The following is an 18692-nucleotide window of genomic DNA, read 5'->3' on the forward strand; positions in this document are numbered from 1 at the left end:
TGCTCCCACGACGACTGGCGTGGCAGGCACGTGGTCAGTGTTCCGCCATCGACTGACTGGGCGGATGAATGATACATAAATGAATTCGCGAACGACTGATGCCCAGCTTCCTCCCGAAGCAAGGTCATTCACCTCAGCGGTCGCGCCTCTCCCCTGCCCCTGCCCCGGATTCCCCGCCGCTCTCAGCTCTCGAGGAGTATGCAGCACTCTTCCGTGCAGCGTGCCTCAGTTTCCTCCGCTGTAAGCAGGCGGGACCAAGGCAGCCTGCCGGGGTCAGGATGAGGCTGGCAGAGGAAGGGCGCCTGTAGTGGGGCCCCGTACCCACGGGCGCCCAATCCGCGCTCGCCAGGGCCGAGCCCGCCCGCCGCGCGCAGCCCCCGCCCCACCGCCTGCCGGCCCCGAGCACACGTGACTCCGCCCCGGCCCGCCCCGCCCCGCCGTCCCAGCGCGGGCTCCCATTGGCCTTTCTGGGAGGCCCCGTCCCCAGCCGGGGAGGAGCCGGGCCCCGCCCGCCGCAGCGCGGGGCTCCTGCGTCCCGAGTGCGCGGCGGCCGGACCGGGCGGGCGGAGCCGGGCCCGCGGGGCTGCTGCGGGGCGATCGGGCCGGGCCGCTGCCGCGCCATGGTGAGCCGGGCGGGGCAGGCCGCGCGCTCGGGCCGGGCGGGGGCGCCGGGGCCCGGGGGCGGGAAGGGGGAGGCCAGGACGAGGAGGGGCGCGCGCGGCGGCGGGGCCGGGCCGGGGTCTGCGGGCGGGGGAGGGGCGGCCCGGCGGGCGCGGCTCGGGGGAGGGTCCGTTCCAGGGGCCGCGCCCGCGGGCTGGGGTTCTTTGTCAGCGGCGCTGCGGCGAGATCCGGACAAAGGAGGCGGCGGGGGGCGGAGGCCGCTTTGTGGGGATCGCGGGGCGCTCGCCCCCGCCCGTGCAGCCCCCGCCCGTCCTCAGCTACGCTCCCGCCTTCCCCCGGCATTTCGGGGTTCTTCAAAATTCTGGGAGCTCCGGGGAGGGCTCCGGGGATAGGGGTCCAGGTGACGTCCGGCGCCCGTCTCGCGGGTAGGGAAACTGAGGCCGGGCCGCAGCGTTCGGCGCCCGGTTCCGTGGGCAGCGGCTGCGCGGCGTGGGCATGCCTAGCTCCCCTGGTCCCCGTCCCACACCCCGCCTCCGTCGGGCCGATTCGAGCTACCTCCCCAGCTGCCGTCCCCTCTCCAGCTGTCGCCCCCTGGGCCGAGCCCCCTCCTCCCTGGAGCCTCGCTTTGCTCCTCCGTGGAGTGGGGGAGACGCCGGCGCCGCCGGGCAGGGTGGAACGGGAGGGTGCGCGGAGCGCGCCTGGCACCGCGCCTGCCACGCCGCCCGCGCTCAGCACTCGGGAGCCGCCGGGGCGCTGTCACCCCTAAGTCCCCAGCACCCAGCCCAGGTCGCCCAGCCCGCCCCAGCGAGGGCCACACTGGGGTTCACCTGTCCGCGGCCCCTCAGGCACGCGGGAGAGGAGGTAGGGAGAATGTGGCATTTTAGAGTCAGGGTCGAAATGCGGGATTTTGGATGCAGGTTGCCTGGGTTTGAATCCCTGCGCGTCTACTTTTGAGCTGTGTGACCTTGGGCAATGGACTTAACTTCTCTGAGCCACCAATTTCTGTATCTGCCAAGAGGGAACAGTAATAGCTCAACTGCCCTGTTGTCTTGAGGCAGAAAGGAGACATCTGCGTGAGCTGTTTATCTCAGTGTCTGGCACATATAATTGCCACCAACTTTCTCCGGCATCTACAAGCAAAGTTGTTTGGCCAAACAGGCCAACCCTGGGGCAGCCTGTGAAAATGACCAGCGGGTGATTCACAGGGTGGGGGCATGAGCCTCTGGCCTGGCCCGAGGAAGACCCCGACTGACCTTGGGGCAGTCCCGGTTCAGAGCTCTGCGGGCTCCCGCTTCCTCTTTTGCCACTGGGGAACCTAGGGGATTCTGGAGCGAGTTTCCTCTTCTGAGGATGGGGGTGTCATGGGTGGGGGTGGAGGATGAGATAACACTGGCCAGAGAGCTGGGCACAGCCCCATCAGTGTCAGTCCCACTGGCATCCGGCCGTTCTTGGTCCTGGCTTCTGGAGGGCTGGGGCCTTGTGTGATGCGTCCTTGTGTCCCACTGGCTGCTGGAGGCCCAGGGCAGAACGGACGTCCCGCCTCGTCCTGGCTGTGTCCAGCAGTGCCCTCTTCTCCCTACAACCCTGTTTTCCCAGTCAGAACCTGGGGCAGGAAACGTTTCTGGTTTGTGACCCGGGGTTCGCTGAAGAGTTTGTTGGCACCCTTGGCAGGTGGCTTTATGGGGGGAGGCAGTACTGAAAGCCCCGTAGGGATGGCTGGTCCCCTGTAAGCAGGGCAGCCCTCCTGGCGTCTGTCAAGGAGCCTCAGGAGGTGGCGGCTGCAAGGCGGGGGTGTTTTGCTGGTGGTGAGCCCGGCAATGCTCATGATGTGCCCGGTTGAGTTAGGAGGAGGCAGCGTGTCCCTGGGGAAGGGGTGTTTGTGGCACTGGGCCTGGGCCAGGCTCTGTGCCCTTCTGGCCCTGGGGGTGGGCTTGGGGATCCCTCGGGCTCAGTGTTCTCCCTTTGTCCCTGCTGTAGCACACAGGAAGGTGTGGCTGGTGACATGCAAACCTGGTGACCTCATGTCCCTTTTGTTTTCACTTTTCTTACCACTTCTCATCCTCCCCACGACCTGGTAGATGAGGTCAGGGACTCGTATCCGCTTTGCGCATTGAGAAACTGAGGCCAAGAGGAGCAGCTTGCTTGGCTGGGCGGAAGCAGGCCGCAAAAGTGAGTGCTGGTCTGGGAGGATGGAGGGGACTCCAGCCTGCTCTACTGCGGTCTGTGGGCCCCCCGGGCCTAGAGCACATGGAGTGGCCTCTGGAGTGGGATCAGGCTCAGACAAGCCGGGGTCCTGGGAGGGAGAGCAGGACAGGAGGATACCCGTCCCCTCTCTGGTAGCTGGGGCAGGGACTGTCCATTTGAATGGCTCTGACGGGGTGGGGTTCACCCCCGGCTCTGCCCCCATGCTCCTTGGGTCCCAGTTACGGATCTCTGTGGGCCTTGGCAAACCCGGCAGGACAGTGTCAGTAACACCTGCAAGCTTGGGCTGCTGGGGAGGAGTGGCCAAGGGCGGTGCAGGCCCCCGCTCACCTGGCATGGCTCAGGCTTGTCTTGCAGTTGTTATTCCTTGGGACATGTGTGGGCTCTGCCGGGAGACAGAGTGTGTCCTGTGCTGCAGTTGACCTCCTTTGGGGTTGTTTGAGGATGCTGGGGCAGGGGGTTCTGGAGAGCCTGGGCCTTGGATCTTGCTTTTATAGTGGGTGGGTGGGATCCGAGAGTCAGGACCCCCTTGGCAGAGGATGGCAAGACTGAAGGCACATGGAGCAGGAGGGTGTGTGTTTGGGGGATCCAGATGGCCTTGGGCTTCAAATGCCAGGCAGAGGGGACACTCCAGCCTGCCCAGAGATGGAAGGCCCAGGCTGTGCTCTGGGTCCTGGCCCCTCTGCACTTGGAAGACCCCTTGGCTCTGCTGGGCTCCCCTCTGGGCTCCCATCCTGCCTTCTGGCTTTTTGCTTCACCTCCCTGCGTGCGCCTCAGTTTCCTCACCTGCCAGATGGAGATGCTAGGGTGAACAAAGGTGGCTGCAGCCTTTCTGGATCAGATGCTGGTGGGAATGAATGTGAGCTGCTGTCATGATGGTTGTTGGGTGGGCCAGGATTCCCATGTGCCAGCCTGGGCATCTCCCCAACCCAAGCTGTGGCCCGTCCCTGTCCCCTGCATCCTGTGGGCTTTACTGGATCAGGGCGAGGGGTTACCCAGCTTGCAAGACACAGCTTTGCTCAGAGGGGCTAGAAAGGAAGAACAGACAGGTGGGGTCCAGCCAGGCACAGGGGCTTGTGGGGACCTGCTGCCCTCCGCGCTTTGAGTTTCCCGGGGCTCTGCTTGGCCACCCCCTTCCCTCCCTGCCTGCCAGCAAGCATGGAGCCAGCTGCCCTTCCATGGGCTCAGGCCTGCCCTAATCCACTGGCACTCGCCGTTCTGTCCCCACACTAGGCCTGCAGCCTTCTCCCATGCAGTCTGCCGGCTTTTTTGAGTCTGTTGGGACAGAACATGGGGACCTGTGCTCAGGGTTCTGGGAGTGCCCTGAGTGTCAGGGACCCCCCCACCTATGATCCCCCTGAGAACAGGGTCTCCTCTAACTCATCACTGTATCTGCAGGGAGGGAACACTCAACAGACCATTCACTGAGCACCTACTGTGTACCCGTGCAGGGCAGGGGTACAGCTGTGGGCGGGACAGACGGTGCCCTCCTTGGACTGCCTTGGAGTCCAGTGCGGGGAGTGAGACAGCAGCCAGGGGACAGCCCCTGAGCCTAGAGAAGGGCAGGTAGCAAGGAGAGCAAATGAAGTAGGGCAAGGCTGTAGTGGTGGGGTGTGGGAGGAGGGGCGCCTGGGTCCAGGGTGGTCTGGGAGGGCAGCCTGCAAGAGGCGCCTTCTGAGAAAGTCCCGAATAGGAAGGTGCCAGCCGTGGGGCGGTCAGGGCAGAGGTGGGAGCGTGGGCTCGCAGCGGAGGGTGTGGGGACGCCTGGGGAGGCAGGGAGCTTGGATTCTCTTTGGTGCTGGGGAGGATTCTGAGTGGGGAGAACGCCATCACATTTTTGCAAAGATCGTTTCTCAGGAAACATTTGCTGAGTGAATGAAGGAACAGATACGCACTCGGGAGGGCCGGACCACAGGCCAGGCGTGACTGTGGCTCAGTCACTGGGCTCTGTGCTCGCGGCGGGGCAGAACCCCACATCTGGCTCTGCCCATGCCTCCTGGCCTGGGTTCAGGGCAGCAGACGGGGTTTTGGGGTCACCACTCCTCTTAGAGAATCCCTTTGAGCTGGGGCCGCCTGTGCCTCAGTTTCCTCATTAGTCCTGGGGCCAGTGGTTGAACTGGGGCCCTTGAACTCAGGTGCCTCCTGGCCTGCCCACCTGGCTTTGCCCCGCCTATCCCAGGTCCTGGTGCCATTGTTTGATTTTCTACTTCCTGTCCCTGAACCACCCCCACCCCCAAACACACACACTTCCCCTTCCGAATTGATACTGACTTGTCTTCCTGTCCAGAAACCCCAGGGGAGGGCAGGCACCCCAGCAGGCCCTGGGAACCAGAGGTGCAGGGGAGAGGGAGGTGGGAGGTGGGAGGCACAGGGCAGGTTGGTGTTCTTCTTGCAGGGAGAGAACACAGAGGTTGGGACGAGTGTAGACAGGCTCACCCAGCCATGGTGGGAAGGCTGTCTGTGGGGTCAGAGGGGTCCCCTGTCCAGTCTGGAGGCGTGAGAGAACAGCTAAGTGGGGTTGTGGAACCGGATGGTGGCAGGGGAGAGGCCAGGGTGGTCTGTACATGCAGGGGACAGAGCAGGGCCACCGTGGAGCTCATGGCCCGCTGGAGGGAGAGGTGGGCGCTAATCAGGTGGCCATGCTCCAGAAGCCAGGGTTGCATGCCAAGGCCACTGCTCCGGAGGGAAGGAGCCCGGCCGGGTTGGGAAAGCTTCCCTGCCAGAGCTGGTATTAACCGGGTCAGGGTGTCTTTCTCCAGCCGGGCCATCTGCGTGGTGGGGGCTGCCCTGTGCACGATAGGTGCCAGCAATATCCATGGTCTCCCTACTTGATGCCAGGAGTGCCACCTGCCCCCAGTTGTGACAACCAGAAGTGGCTCCAGACATGGCCAGATGTCCCCAGGGTGGGGACACAGTGGCCCCCAGTTGAGAACCACTGAACAAGGGTAAGCCGCCAGAACGTTCTGGGCAGGGGCAACTGCCTGGGCCAGGGCCTGGTAGGAGGGTTCGTTGCGGGGGTCAGCGTGGCTGGCGAGCAGGGCATATTGGGGATGTGTAGTGTTCGGTCCTGCAGGTCATTGTGAGGACTTGGAAGGCGTCCTGGCTGCAGTGGCCCCTGAGGGTGGGCAGGGAGATCCTTAGCGCCTGCGGCAGCCTGTCTCCTGGAGTCAGGGGGAAGGCAGTGGAATGGAGGGAGGGCACCTCCTCTGCCCAGGGCCCTCTGCAGAAGCTGCCGGTTTCCCCGGGCCTGGTCCCTGGACAGACGCTGGGGGCGTTGACTTAGCTGCCTTTGTCCTTCAGGCAAACCTGGCTTCTGGGGAAACTCCTGGTTGGGTAAGAATCATTTCTCCTTAAGGGTGCTGTTCCTCAAGGACGCAGCAGGTTCGACCCTATTTGGAGGGAAAACCTCCTTCCAGTGCTGTCTGCCTGTGCTGATGTCAGTCTTATCCAAAGGGAACAAAAAGCCAGACGTGTCGTTCTGAGTGCCGACCGCACGCCCAGTCCTGTGTAGAACGCGTCTCGGGCCTGTCCTCATCCTCACTGACCCCGGGTGCAGCCAGCGTTTGCTCTGTTTGTGGCGAGCGAGGCAGGAGAGGGAAGAAAGTGCAGGGTCTTGGGACTCCAGAGAACCTGCCAGCCTCAGCACTGCGGGGCAGCAGAGGCAAAGCCCTGGCCTCAGCATGCTCTCACTGGCTGTGCCTTGGGTGTCACCTAGAGGGTTGACAGGGTGCCTGGAGCTGGGGACTCTTAGACCTTATGTGCATTCCATAGCCACACTGTCCTCCGCCACTTGGCAGGCCCACCCATGGGTGAACTCCGTGGCTCGGCCAGGTGGAGGTGGTGGTCCCAGCCCTCCAACTTCTGGCGTCATTCTTTCAACATGTGGAGCACAGGCTTGGCCTGGCCTGGGAGGGGCCTCATCCCCGCTCCCACCCAAATCAGCTGGTGCCCCGACTCCTGGCACTTGCCAGGGGGACCCTCTCTGCCTTCAGAGCCTTAGCCCTCACCGTGCCCCCTGCCAGGAACACTATTCCCCATCAGCACCGCCTCCCTGCCTCCCACCTGCCCACCCAGGTTAGCATCTTGGCACCTGGTTGCTGTGTTCCTGACAATGGCACCCTGTATTGTGAGTGACCGGCATTTGGGGTACTAACCAGTTACAGTCTGGCGCCTGCATTAGATGCTAAGCACCATCAGGGAGGGAGCCTCTGTCTCACCCTCCCTGCCTCCCCGAAGCTTTCCCAAGTGCCTGTCTCCATCTCCCGGGACACTCTACCCTGTTGCTTCCTTGGTTGGCCTCCGTCCAAACCACACAAGGGACTCTACCGCCCAGCTTCCTTCTCAGATGGTGTGCCGCGTTCCAGGGGTCTTCCCAGGCCCGATGCAGTGCCTGGTGACAAAGGCTGTTGTCCAGTACACCCTCTCACAGGTGTCCCCAAAGGACCTGCCTGTTCTGTATATGATGTCTGTTTGGGAGAGGGACTGATGTCATTGTCATTTCTTTTTCTTTTTTTTTTCTTTTTTTTTTTTTTTTTTTGAAGAGACTCTTGCTCCTGTCGCCCAGGCTGGAGGGCTAGAGCGCAGTGGTGAGATCTCGGCTCACTGCAACCTCTGCCCCCCAGCTTCAAGCAATTCTCATGCCTTAGCCTCCCAAGTAACTGGGATTACACGCATGTGCCACCATGCCCAGCTAATTATTGTATTTTAGTAGATACGAGGTTTCACTATGTTGGCCAGGCTGGTCTCAAACTCCTGGGCTCAAGTGATCTGCCGGCCTCAGCCTTCCAAAGTGCTGGAATTACAGGCATGAGTCACTGCACCTGGCCATTTATCTGCTTTCAAACCCCCATCTCTGGCCATTAGGAGGCCCCAGTTGCCCTCAGTCCCTGAGTGGTCATGAACACTGAGTTGGGGCTGGGCTTCCCGAAGGCACACCTTCAGCTGAAGAACCAGAACCATGTCTGGCCCTCTGGCATCCTTTGCTGCAGCTGTCGCTGTCGCAGTGTTCCCGGCTCTGCCGCCAGCGAGGGTGACTCACCTGCCTGGTACAGCAGCACTCGGGGTTTCAAAGGTCATGAACAGGAGCTGGGTGAGCGTGGGTGAGCAGACGCCTTCGAACGCCGGCCAGCATGCTTTTTGTCAGGGTGAGGGTGGGATGGGCAGGTCTGAGAACGATTAAAAATAGACCCCGTGGAAGTGCTAACCGCAGCTCGTCAACCTGCTTTGTCTTTCAGGACTCCCGTGTCCAGCCTGAGTTCCAGCCTCACTGAGTGGCCACCCCCAAAGTGCTGCCAGCCGAGGAAGCCCCCAGCACTGACCATGTCTATTATGGACCACAGCCCCACCACGGGCGTGGTCACAGTCATCGTCATCCTCATTGCCATCGCGGCCCTGGGGGCCTTGATCCTGGGCTGCTGGTGCTACCTGCGGCTGCAGCGCATCAGCCAGTCAGAGGACGAGGAGAGCATCGTGGGGGATGGGGAGACCAAGGAACCCTTCCTGCTGGTGCAGTATTCGGCCAAGGGACCGTGCGTGGAGAGAAAGGCCAAGCTGATGACTCCCAACGGCCCGGAAGTCCACGGCTGAGCCAGGATGCAAGGCTCCTGGTCCTGTTTGCAGCCGGCCAAGAGGCGCTGGGAGGGGCAAAACCATACGGATGCGCTGCTGTCTGAGAGGAAGGGCTGACACTTGCTGGCATGGCCTCTGCGGGCTTCGTCATCGCATGCACTGATGCCCGGGGACCTGGCTGTCCTGGGCTTCCCCTCGGCCTCCAGGTGAGGCTGCCCATTGCAGGCACTGGGCAGGCCTGACCTTGCTGGGGCTCATGGCCCTGTAGCGCTTTTGTTACTTGAATGTCTAGCTGAGCCTGTTTTTGATGGAGCTACTACTGTAATGCGTGAACTAACAAACCTGTGAACTGTAAATAGGCCCCTGGAAGCACGTGCTTAAGCCCTTTTGCTGATTTTTAAAAATATCATCTAGCGCACACGGGACTGGTATTCTGGCTGTACTAATGACAAGCTGAGTCAAGACCCTGGAGGGTCATAGGCTTGTAAAGGCCCACGCCACACTCGGCAGGGGTCTCTCATGTGTGTCCATCTGCGTGTATGTCAAGGAAGTGAGATGCCAATTTGGGGTCTTGAGGCTGACCAGTTGGGGTGCTTGGGTGATCTCTGCTTCATTAGTCATGGGTGGAAGAAAAACCACACCCCCCGCACCCCTCCGTTCTTTCTGCATAGACTCACTTGTTAAATAGCAGTTCTGTTGAGAGTGGAGTTACTGCAGGGAAGCTACCGGACCTGCCTGGGAGCCAGTGAAGGGCGAGTCAGGGCACGCGTCCTGGAGGCTGCCAGCGTCCTTGTAGCAGAGCAGTTTCTTGCCGCTTGGGTCTTCAGCACGCCAAGCCCCCCACCAACCCTCCACCCCGAGTGAAGGCTTCGCTGAAATTGCTTTGGTCCTCATAGAGCCTGTGGTGGCTACTTTTGGTCTGAAACCCACTTGGCCCAGGAAAGAGAAAAGGTTGTATGTTTTGTGTTGGTGTTTCCTATTTTCTGCACTGGAGGGGAGGGGACTGTTGAGGTTCTGTCTTTTTTCTTCTTTTCCTCTTCCCTCTTCACATCACTTGGCTTCCTTTCCTCTCTGATGACCGTCCGCCTATGGGGTTCTGACTTCACTTTCCTCAGCGGGTCTCCAGTCCCCTGACCCAGCTCTAAAGGCACTTAGGACCCAGGGAACATTTCTCACGTGCACATTCCCCTAAGAGCCACCAGACTGCTTCCTGCCAGCCTGTGCTTGCGGCAGGGAGCCGGGGCAGGGCAGAGGTGAACTTGAAGTTCAGGACTTGACTCTCCCACAGGTGGTGAGCTGGTGGCTCTCTGGTGAGCTAGTGTCTCCACAGCCTGTCTCCAAGGCCTCCCCTATGTACATTTCAGTGAGCTCACTTTGATTTTTAATCCCACCACAAGCACATACTAATTTTATTTATGATTCAAATGTGACTCGTGCCTGCCCATCCCTGTAATAGATGGAAGGTCAGCCCCGGCTTAACCACAGAGCACTGGCCCTTCATGGCTGAGCTCAGAGCTCTGGCCTCCTGCTCAGACTAAAGGCACCTCCTCTGGCCTCACCCAAGCCTCTTCTAAAAACCATGTTGAATGAATCCACGTTCTGGAACCCCGAGGCGGGAGAAGTAGGGAGCTGTTCGTTTAAGCAGCATACACCTAAATTGGGGGTTTAAACATTAAGTAGGAGCTTGGGGTGGAAGAGGGACAGCCGGCTGGGCCACCTGAGCAGAAGGTGGTAATGAAACACCTCAGCTGGGCTCTTGGGAGACCTTAGGAAGCAGGAGAGGCAACACCTCTGGCTACTGATGGTGTGGCAAGTTCAGAAGAGGTGGTGGTGGGGTAGGCGTGATGTCAGCAGAAGCCCTGCAGGCTGGGTGGGCAGGACACGTGGTGGGGGCCACTGAAACCAGGCCTAGGAGGGAGAACAAGTTCCAAAGGTGCCGACTGGAAGAAGGGGGTAAAAGTTTGCTTTGGTGAGTGAGAAAAGGCTGGGGCGTGTGATCCATCCCCTCACGTTTCAGAACTTCCAGGCTTTCTACCTCGACTCTCACCACAGCCAGCACATACACCTAGGCTGTTTTTCCTTCCTCCACACCTGAGGGACGCAGCAACAGCTAGGATCTGCATTTTCAGGTTCCGAGCCTGACCCCTGGAACTGACCAGCGCTCGATTGTCAGCCTTGGCCTGGGGTTTTGACCTTGCCAGTGAAGTTTCGGTTTTGAAGTGATTAAATGTCACTTCCTCATCAGTTTCACTTCTGGAGGTTTTCTTATCCTACTCCCTGGTGCCAGGGACGTACCTGGGAGTTTGAATCAGGCCCATTTGAGCGTGGCAGCCGTGTTGGGTGAAGGTCCGGGGCTCGGTGAGGCACTGGGGGGGTTTTCGGGAGGAAAATGAAAATGCTTCTAGAATGAGTGAACCACATCATAGCTCTCACTGTTTTTTCAATAGCTACTTTTTTTAGCAGACACCAGAGCCACACTCAAATGGCTAAGTAGGTTATGACCTCTCTGGATTATTTTTGAATGCCCAACTGTTGCATTCAAGTTTTCTGACTAATAAGAAATTAAGCATTCATCCTTCGTATCACTGCAGAAGCAACAGTGGGGGCACAGGGAGGGAACTCTTGACACTGAGCCACTAAAATATGGACTAATTTTTTGGACAAATCTTCAAACGGACTGTGCTACTGTATTTGTCTCAAAGCTACCAAGTTTGTGCAATAAGTGGAAGGGATGTCATCCTTCTTCAATAAATGCTGAATGACATTCAAGCTGATTTTCTAGACCACTGAGAAAATCTTTATTTACAATAAATTTCAATAAAATTTGCATAAATATATTCCCAATGTACAATTTTCACCTCTGATTTCTTCATATCATTTAAAAAGTTAGTCTGTCCTGTTCTCCTTATTCCTTTCAGACACCAGTGTGGCGCTGACATTGGCAGGTGGAGGGGAGCTGCCAGGGAGCTGGGGGGTGGCTGAGGGCTCAGGCTGCTTGGGGTGGACCTCTCTCTGGGCCGCCAGGCTTTCAGCTCCATCCCTGCCCTCCAGTTTCCTCTCCATGGTCGCCACCAGGATCTTGAGCCACGTGTTCTCGGTAAGGAGGTTTTCTGAGGCATCGGCCAGCTCCTGCAGCTTGCGGGCCAGCTCCTGCAGCTCACGTGTCTTCTGCTCATAGAGGGCCTGCAGCTGCTCACTGTGTGCGTGGAGCAGGCTGTGCTGCTCTTCCAGGGCCCGCTGCTGCTGCCGCAGCCGGTGCTCATCTCTGCGGGCACTGGAGAGCTGGGACTCCACCTGCACTTGTGCTCGCTGGAGGCTGCTTATTTCTGCTCTCAGTTTCTGGATCTCTCTCTCCAAGTGGGAGATGTGCCCCCGCTGTAAGACTGCCTCGCTCTGAAGACACTCCTTGGTAGGAGAGTTAGCCACATTCTGGGGGCTGGAAGCAGGGTCTGAGTGATGCAAAATGAACCTCAACAGGTTTGGAAGGGTGATGGGGACGTCTTCGGGGTATTTCACACTTAGGTCCTTTCTGGAGAGAGAGGGAAAGGAAGCAAAGACAGGAGTCACACCAACACAATGAGTCCAAAAGCAGGCTGTACCTGAGGCCAGGCCATCTACTTCTCACCAAGAAAAGACGTTCCGTGGATTTTACTTACTGAAAGTAAGGAAAATGTTGCCTGGGCAAGAAATTCTCTACAAAGCTGAGGCTGTCCCATATGCTCGTTCTGTAATTAAGATGGCTTATCTGTTCCTGAAGCCAGAGCTCAGCTTCACCCACACCCTCCAAGAAAGACAAGAGCTCCTAGGCCCAGGCCTAAAGCCAGTGATGCAGGGCCCCAGGAGTGTGTAGGCATGGGGCCTCTGTGTGCTCGGAGATGCCCAGCGGCTGTGTCAGGAAGAGCGTCCAGGGGAGGCAGGAGTGTCCCACCTATGTCCCTCTTGTGCCCACTGACAGTGCCCGGAGAAAAAGGAAGAACTTGAAAGATACCCAGTCTGTTTCTTCAGCAAGCATTTATTACACATTCTCTAAGGCAGGGGTTCTCAACTGGGGGTGACTGTACCCCCATTCCCCAGGTACATCTGGCTCACACCTGGCAACCTGATAACTGGCAAACAGCCCAACCAAAGGACTATGAATTCAGGCTGCCCAGCCCTGAGAGCACAGAATAAGGAAGGAAGGTGACATAGAAAGGGGTTTTCCCTACAGCTTTGTTCCAGGTCCTGATCTAGAGATCTAGAAAATTCCTCTTCAGAACTTGTCATTTAATCGTCTGATGATGTTTCTCTCACATATCTATTTACCTGTGCCTGTACAGCCTGGCTGCAATTGATCAAAACTACCAGCTTTATGCACTTAGGTATGAGGTGGGCCGGCAGCCGAGTTTGTCTCCCTCAGGTGTTAACAGAATGGAAGTCAACAGCAGGGACTCCAGAGCCTGGCTGCCCAGGGCCACTGGACCCGGCCGTAAATTGTTTTATAATTTTGGGGTAAACATTCAACCATCCCCTCCTTTAAAGCTTAGTTTTCTTAACATATAAGCTTTCTTCAAGTGGGGCCCAGCCATTCAAATGACAAAGCTGGGTGTGGTGCTGTGTGCCTGTAATCCCAGTGCTTTGGGAGGCTGAGGTGGGAGGATCGCTTGAGGCCAGGAGTTTGAGACCAGCCTGGACAATATAGTAAGGCCTCATCTGTATAAAAAGTAAGATAAAAAAATTAGCCAGGCAAGGTGGCACACACCTGTAGATCCAGCTACTTAGGAGCCTGAGGTGGGAGGATCACTTGAGTCCAGGAGTTCAAGACTGCAGTGAGCCGTAATTGCACCACTGCACTCCAGCCTGGGCAACAGAGTCAGACCTTGTCTCAAAAACAGAAAACCAAAAAACCCCACAACAACTGAAAACACATCGTGGCCCTGTCAAGTGGGCCCATGGAAGAATACCAGACGCTGGACCTGCCCCCACGTTCTGCGGCACAAGCCTGGTCTTGTAAGGCAGAGTAAACGTGAATTACTTCCCAGAAAAAGCTGCCAAGATCCCTCAGGATGTCTACCTCCAGACATTTACAGGACAGTGACATCCGTGAGCATGCTATCTGCTAACTAAGAGGTCTTGGTGCACTCTCCATCAATGTCCCTAATGGGCACACTAAAATACTGCCACACTTTGTGAAAGTAGCAGGGACAGAGAATGTCAACAGTCTACTTCCAGGAAAGCAGTCATGTGAAACTATGGTGGGAAGAGGTCCCCATGTCTATGCAACTCTCCTCTAACCCTGAGGGAGTGGCAGGGCACACCTCTAAAAAACTGTGATTCTTCCCCTGGGACACATCAGAGTCTCTTGGTGGACAGGAGCACCCATCTCCCCCTCATCACCCTGGCCCAGGGCCAGGCCAGAGCACCTATATTTTGCAATGTCACACAGAGTCTGACGCAAGTGCTGGCTGGAGGAGCACCTGCTCGGTGGAGCAAGTGGCTCCAAGATGCCTCTGCACAGGAAGGCTATGTCTCCCTCAAGGCCCCACCCCTTCCTCTTCCTCCCAAGGACAGGCTCTTGCATTTTTTTCCTTCATGATTTTTATAAATCAAGACATGCTCTTTGTAGACAATTTGCAAGGGATGTAAAAACATACAAGCAGCACCTTCAAATCACTTGCAATCTCACTCCTCTGAAGTCATCAATGTTAACACCTCAACATTTTCCCCTCTGTGAACATCTCCACCTAGCACATGCACAAGTTTATATTTTATCACAGTAAATATACAATTTCATATTCTTTTCACTAAAAATAGCATAAGCAGGTGGACAATGAAAAAGGTCTTACTACATGTTATCCAACAGCCTTTTTCATTTCCTCTTTTGCAAGCTGTCAGCTCACGCTGCTTGCCCATTTACCTTCTGGCTAAACCAAACACTCGCTTGGGACCAGCTCATGATGAGCATACTTTACTTCTACCATTTATTTTTAGGAAATGAGAAAAATTCCATTCCAAAGCCATAAAGCTTTGGTTTACCAACATCCTTACATTAAAAGAGAAGTGGACAGTCTTCTTATGTTCGATATTTAGAAACGACAAGGGTAAGGGCCTGCAGCAAGTGCCCAGCATGGGGCCGGAGAAATGCGCACATCTTCACGTTTCCCACACCAGGCAGCCTAAGAACGAAGGTCACTCAGCCCAGACGCAGGCCTCCAGATGACGCCCCACCCTGCCACCTGTTCCGCCTGTGTCTCTCTACACAGATGCATTTCTGCCAGCTGCTGAGAACTTCTTCATTAAAAGGCATGTGCTGGGTGCTAAGATTTTCATATTTTTTCAAACTATGCTTGGAATTCAAAAATTATACGTCATTAAACTACATGCCCAACTCCTGGCCCACACAGATGAAAGTGTTAGTGTTACTGTCCGTGATTCCTGGACTATGTGGTAATTTAAACACTTCTTAGAAAGAAAAAGCCTCATCACAACTCAGTCAGCAGTAGAAAAGGGTGAGTCACATTCTGTTTTTAGTGCATGATGTGACAAGACCCTACTACCACAGAAGTACTCCCGCAAAAATTCTTTGAGATACAAAGCAAAAACCAAGGGAATGATTCAATAGATATGAAGGAAACACTCTCCTAGAGAAACATGACAAGCTGAATCGCAAAAGGGAGGCAGGAAATTAAAACAGCAAACGTCATACATGCGAGCCAGGGAACTCCCTAAATGATGCTGCAGACACTTTCCCCTGGAGAGAAGATACTGTCAAAGTCATGTGAGTGGGTCCCCAAAAGGACTCAACTTTCTAAAAACCAAAGGGAATCTATAAAAAGGGAGCAAACATCCAGTGTATTAGGCTCTAAAGGACCAAGAGTTAATTTCTTTTTCCACTAAAACATCTGCATCTACGTTTACTAACTGGAAGTCCGCTCCCCCTTGTTAATGTCCTGCTTGCAGGGGCTTCCGGGGTAGTTGCCGTTAAGAACTGCACCTGGAATACTGATTAGGCAAGTGTGAAAAAATCAAGCGACCATCCCATGGCGGACGTTCACAGCAGTCTGCACGCATGGGAGAAAACCCCTTTGTAGGCCTCCTGGAATCCGAGAAAAGGACGTGCCATGGGTAAGAAAGCCACCCTGTCCTCTGTACGAGAGGGATGAGGAGCTGCTGGGAGGCCAACTGAGAGACAAGCAAGTGGAAGGCTTGGGGCAGGCAGGGCTCCACAGATTCTCTGCTGTTTTGCCCCACACAAACATTGCACCACTGCACTCCAGCCAGGGCAACAGAAGAATCCTGTCAGTCTCTGCGTCCTCCATATGTTCATACAGGCCATGAAAGCTAAGAATTCTCACGGCCACATTCAAGCTCGGGTAAGAGATAGACTGGGAAAAACAACCTTTAAAAGATCCATACCACACATAACATCCTGACACTACAACCCTTTTATGTCCCTAAGGACACTTTTTTTTTTTTTTTTTTTTTGAGGCAGAGCCTCGCTCTGTCACCCAGGTTGGAGTGCAGTGGTGTGATCTTGGCTCACTGCAACCTCCGCATCCCAGGTTCAAGAGATTCTCGTGCCTCAGCCTCAGAGTAGCTGGGATTACAAGCATATGTCACCATGCCTGGCTAATTTTTGTATTTTTTGTACTGATGGGGTTTCACCATGTCGGCCAGGCTGGTCTCAACCTCTTGAGCTCAAGCAATCTGCCTGCCTCAGCCTCCCAAAGTGCTGGGATTACAGGCATGAGCCACCACGCCTGGTTCCTAAGGGAACATTTTTTGAACATAATGAATGATTTACATCTTAAACCCATTTCATTTTCAGACCTCCACAAAAGAATCCCAACTGCCCACCAGTGACAAAAATTTGGCATTACCTGTTGCAGGGAAAAAACAAGACAGTAGGAAGACGATCGACCATAAATTCCCAAGGAAGGTCATTCTGAGACACGTCAATCCTGGTAAAGGGAAAGAACAGAAATGGCAGATGATCAGCCCAAGAAACACCAACTTGAAAGAACCTTCTCAGATAACTTCAAGAACCTGGTGCATTTTTTACACCCCACATTGGGCTAGTCCCTTCTCGATGAATGTACTACCAGGTGTGAGCTGGGCGCTGATACTTCCAAGACATACAACATTCTACTACGTGGACGCTTTCCACTGAGTGGCAATGTGATGTCCTGAAAGTAAAAATGAACTTGCAGAAAATGCCGCACTGACACCTGAGGAGTCATTCACTCCTCACCTGACAGGATCTAGCCAAGTATTTTAATCCCTGAATAGCTCTGGGAAAAGAAAGGAAATCATTGAGCAAAATACATCAAGCCCCTCTGAAGATGGAAAATTATACCCTCTTTATGTTGTAAATCTGGATAGAGACCAAAAACAGCCTATTTTCTTAGCAGATTTGACATTAATTTTCTAATACAGAAAATGACATCTGTACTAACTCACCCAGCCTGTGCTCAATCACTGTGGGAGCTAACCGCAACTGCTCTAGAGGCCTGCCCCGGGCAGCTGGCACAGAGCTGGGCACACAGCTGGGCGCCCACACTCGGGCTAAGCAGACATGGAGCCACAACAGCATCCTTTATGGAAGGGGCTGCATCCTCCTTGCGGAGGGGCTATTCAGCTACTATTCATAAACAGTGCACACAAAAGATGAACATGTTTTCAATCTTTACCTTGACAGAAGTTTTTAGAAAGCATAACTGGGGGGAGTGAGGGTGCGGTAAGTGTCATGTATGTGTCCAAAAGGATGAAATTTGCTTTTCAAAAAATGGCACAACCAGGCTGAGCACAGGGGCTCACGCCTGTAAATCCAACACTTTGGGAGGCCGAGGTGGGTGGACTGTTTGAGCCCAGGAGTTCGAGACTAGCCTGGGCAACATGGGGAAACCCTGTCTCTACAAAAAATTGGCCGGGTATTCTGGCACATGCCTGTAGTCCCAGCTACTTGGGAAGGTGGGAGAATCACCTGAACCTGGGAGGTTGGGGCTGCAGTGAGCTGTGATTGCACCACTGCATTCCAGCCTGGGCAACAGAGTGAGACCCTGTCTCAAAAAAACAACAACGCCGGGCGTGGTGGCTCACGTCTGTAATCCCAGCACTTTAGGAGGCCGAGGCAGGCAGATCACGAGGTCAGGTGATCGAGACCATCCTGGCTAACGCGGTGAAACGCCACCCGTCTCTACTAAAAATACAAAAAATTAGCTGGGCATAATGGCGGGCGCCTGTAGTCCCAGCTACTCGGGAGGCTGAGGCAGGAGAATGGCGTGAACCCGGGAGGCGGAGCTTATAGTGAGCTGAGATTGCACCTCTGCACTCCAGCCTGGGCAACAGAGCAAGACTCCATCTCAAAAAAAAAAACAAAAACAAAAAACAACAACAGCAACAAAAGGCATAACCAAATGAAAACCATTTACCAAAAGTTTACTAACAAAACAGCACTCCTGCCTCACCTGTGCCAGCCTACCTAAAACATTAGTGTTCCTTTCTAAACAAGTGGGAGTGAACACTATATTCCATAATTAAATGCTTTTTCTCACTTGATTCTTACTTCAAAGAAAGCAAACTATAAAATTAAAACATTGTAAAAATCCACTCAGAATTCCATTGGGCTAAATAAGGCCCCCCTTTCTTATGCAGGCTGCAGGCTTGGTCTATATGCTTACTTTTTTTTTTCTGAGACACAGTCTTGCTCTGTCGCCCAGGCTGGAATGCAGTGGTGCAATCTCAGCTCCCTGTAACCTCCGGCTGCTGGATTCAAGTGATTCTCCTGCCTCAGCCTCCTGAGTAGTTGGGACTACAGGCACGTGCCGCCACACTTGGCTAATTTTTTATTTTTAGTAGAGACAGGTTTTCACTATGTTGGCCAGGCTGGTCTCGAACTCCTGGCCTCAGGTGATCCGCCCACCTCGGCCTCCCAACATGCTGGGATTACAGGCATGAGCCACTGCACCTCGCCTATATCCTTACATATTTTTAAGAAGAGTTGTCATATATTTCATACTCTGTTCTTTTCCATTAACTGTATGAAAAGCACTGTTGAAGGATAAAAATTCCATTAAATGCCCAGCCATAATTTACTTAAACATTCATCTCCTGGTGGATGTAAACAATGCTATAATGATGAGCTCATGCTTCTTCGGAATTCCTATTCCATTACTTCTCCAAAGTAAAATTAACTGGGTCAAAAATGTGTTAACTGTTTTTGTTGATTTCTTGTAAATGTTGCCAAAATGCTTTCCAAAAGAGTTATGGCAATGTACTCATTCCATTAGATACATCTGACTGCAGTTTCCATTTTATTTTATCAA

The 18692-nt window shown here is 55.0% G+C and overlaps 2 protein-coding genes across 14 annotated transcripts in view, besides 5 other annotated features; one reads left to right on the forward strand and one right to left on the reverse strand.

The window, feature by feature from the left end:
* Positions 211–630: a silencer, noted in NCBI's record as "silent region_7206". NCBI's record gives its function as "represses an Ori minimal core promoter by ATAC-STARR-seq in GM12878 lymphoblastoid cells {active_cell/tissue: GM12878}" and the evidence as "EXISTENCE:reporter gene assay evidence [ECO:0000049][PMID:35858748]".
* SNN (stannin) lies at positions 538–11235 on the forward strand. 2 transcript variants are annotated; one of them, NM_003498.6, is made up of 2 exons: positions 538–623; positions 8058–11235. In NM_003498.6, the coding sequence occupies exon 2, from the start codon at positions 8143–8145 to the stop codon at positions 8407–8409; it is 267 nt and encodes an 88-aa protein (NP_003489.1). In that variant the 5' UTR covers positions 538–623; positions 8058–8142; the 3' UTR covers positions 8410–11235. The 2 variants fall into 2 exon arrangements, with proteins under 2 accessions (NP_003489.1, XP_016879230.1); XM_017023741.2 differs by lacking the exon at positions 538–623 and adding an exon at positions 5220–5768.
* Positions 1738–1837: an enhancer, noted in NCBI's record as "active region_10455". NCBI's record gives its function as "activates an Ori minimal core promoter by ATAC-STARR-seq in GM12878 lymphoblastoid cells {active_cell/tissue: GM12878}" and the evidence as "EXISTENCE:reporter gene assay evidence [ECO:0000049][PMID:35858748]".
* Positions 4762–5581: an enhancer, noted in NCBI's record as "H3K27ac-H3K4me1 hESC enhancer chr16:11766535-11767354 (GRCh37/hg19 assembly coordinates)". NCBI's record gives its function as "activates a minimal SCP1, AML or CMV promoter by ChIP-STARR-seq in naive and primed H9 embryonic stem cells {active_cell/tissue: H9 hESC(naive and primed)}" and the evidence as "EXISTENCE:reporter gene assay evidence [ECO:0000049][PMID:30033119]".
* Positions 5120–5189: a silencer, noted in NCBI's record as "silent region_7207". NCBI's record gives its function as "represses an Ori minimal core promoter by ATAC-STARR-seq in GM12878 lymphoblastoid cells {active_cell/tissue: GM12878}" and the evidence as "EXISTENCE:reporter gene assay evidence [ECO:0000049][PMID:35858748]".
* The window catches only part of TXNDC11 (thioredoxin domain containing 11), a 63775-nt gene continuing 56248 nt past the window's right edge, over positions 11166–18692 (reverse strand). For all 12 annotated transcript variants that reach the window (NR_136674.2, NR_136673.2, NR_136672.2 and 9 more), the window contains 2 exons: positions 16248–16328; positions 11166–11920 (listed from right to left, as the gene is read on the reverse strand). Coding sequence is in view for 8 of the 12 variants with exons in the window: in NM_001324025.2 (NP_001310954.1) it covers positions 11278–11920; positions 16248–16328 (724 nt within the window). In the remaining 4 variants the exon portion in view is untranslated. The remainder of the gene's footprint in view (positions 11921–16247; positions 16329–18692) is intronic.
* Positions 13302–13658: an enhancer, noted in NCBI's record as "nonconserved acetylation island sequence 94". NCBI's record gives its function as "activates a minimal heat-shock promoter by reporter assays in Jurkat T cells {active_cell/tissue: Jurkat}" and the evidence as "EXISTENCE:reporter gene assay evidence [ECO:0000049][PMID:17135569]".

Source organism: Homo sapiens, chromosome 16 (genome assembly GCF_000001405.40).
Source record: "Homo sapiens chromosome 16, GRCh38.p14 Primary Assembly".
Taxonomy (NCBI): domain Eukaryota; kingdom Metazoa; phylum Chordata; class Mammalia; order Primates; family Hominidae; genus Homo; species Homo sapiens.

Excerpts from the sequence above, each read along its gene's own strand:
- SNN (XM_017023741.2), top strand. The coding sequence starts at position 5,716 with ATGTCCCCAGGGTGGGGACACAGTGGCCCCCAGTTGAGAACCACTGAA. Across the intron at positions 5,769-8,057 it reads TTGAGAACCACTGAACAAGG|GACTCCCGTGTCCAGCCTGA; the intron begins GTAAGCCGCCAG and ends TTTGTCTTTCAG.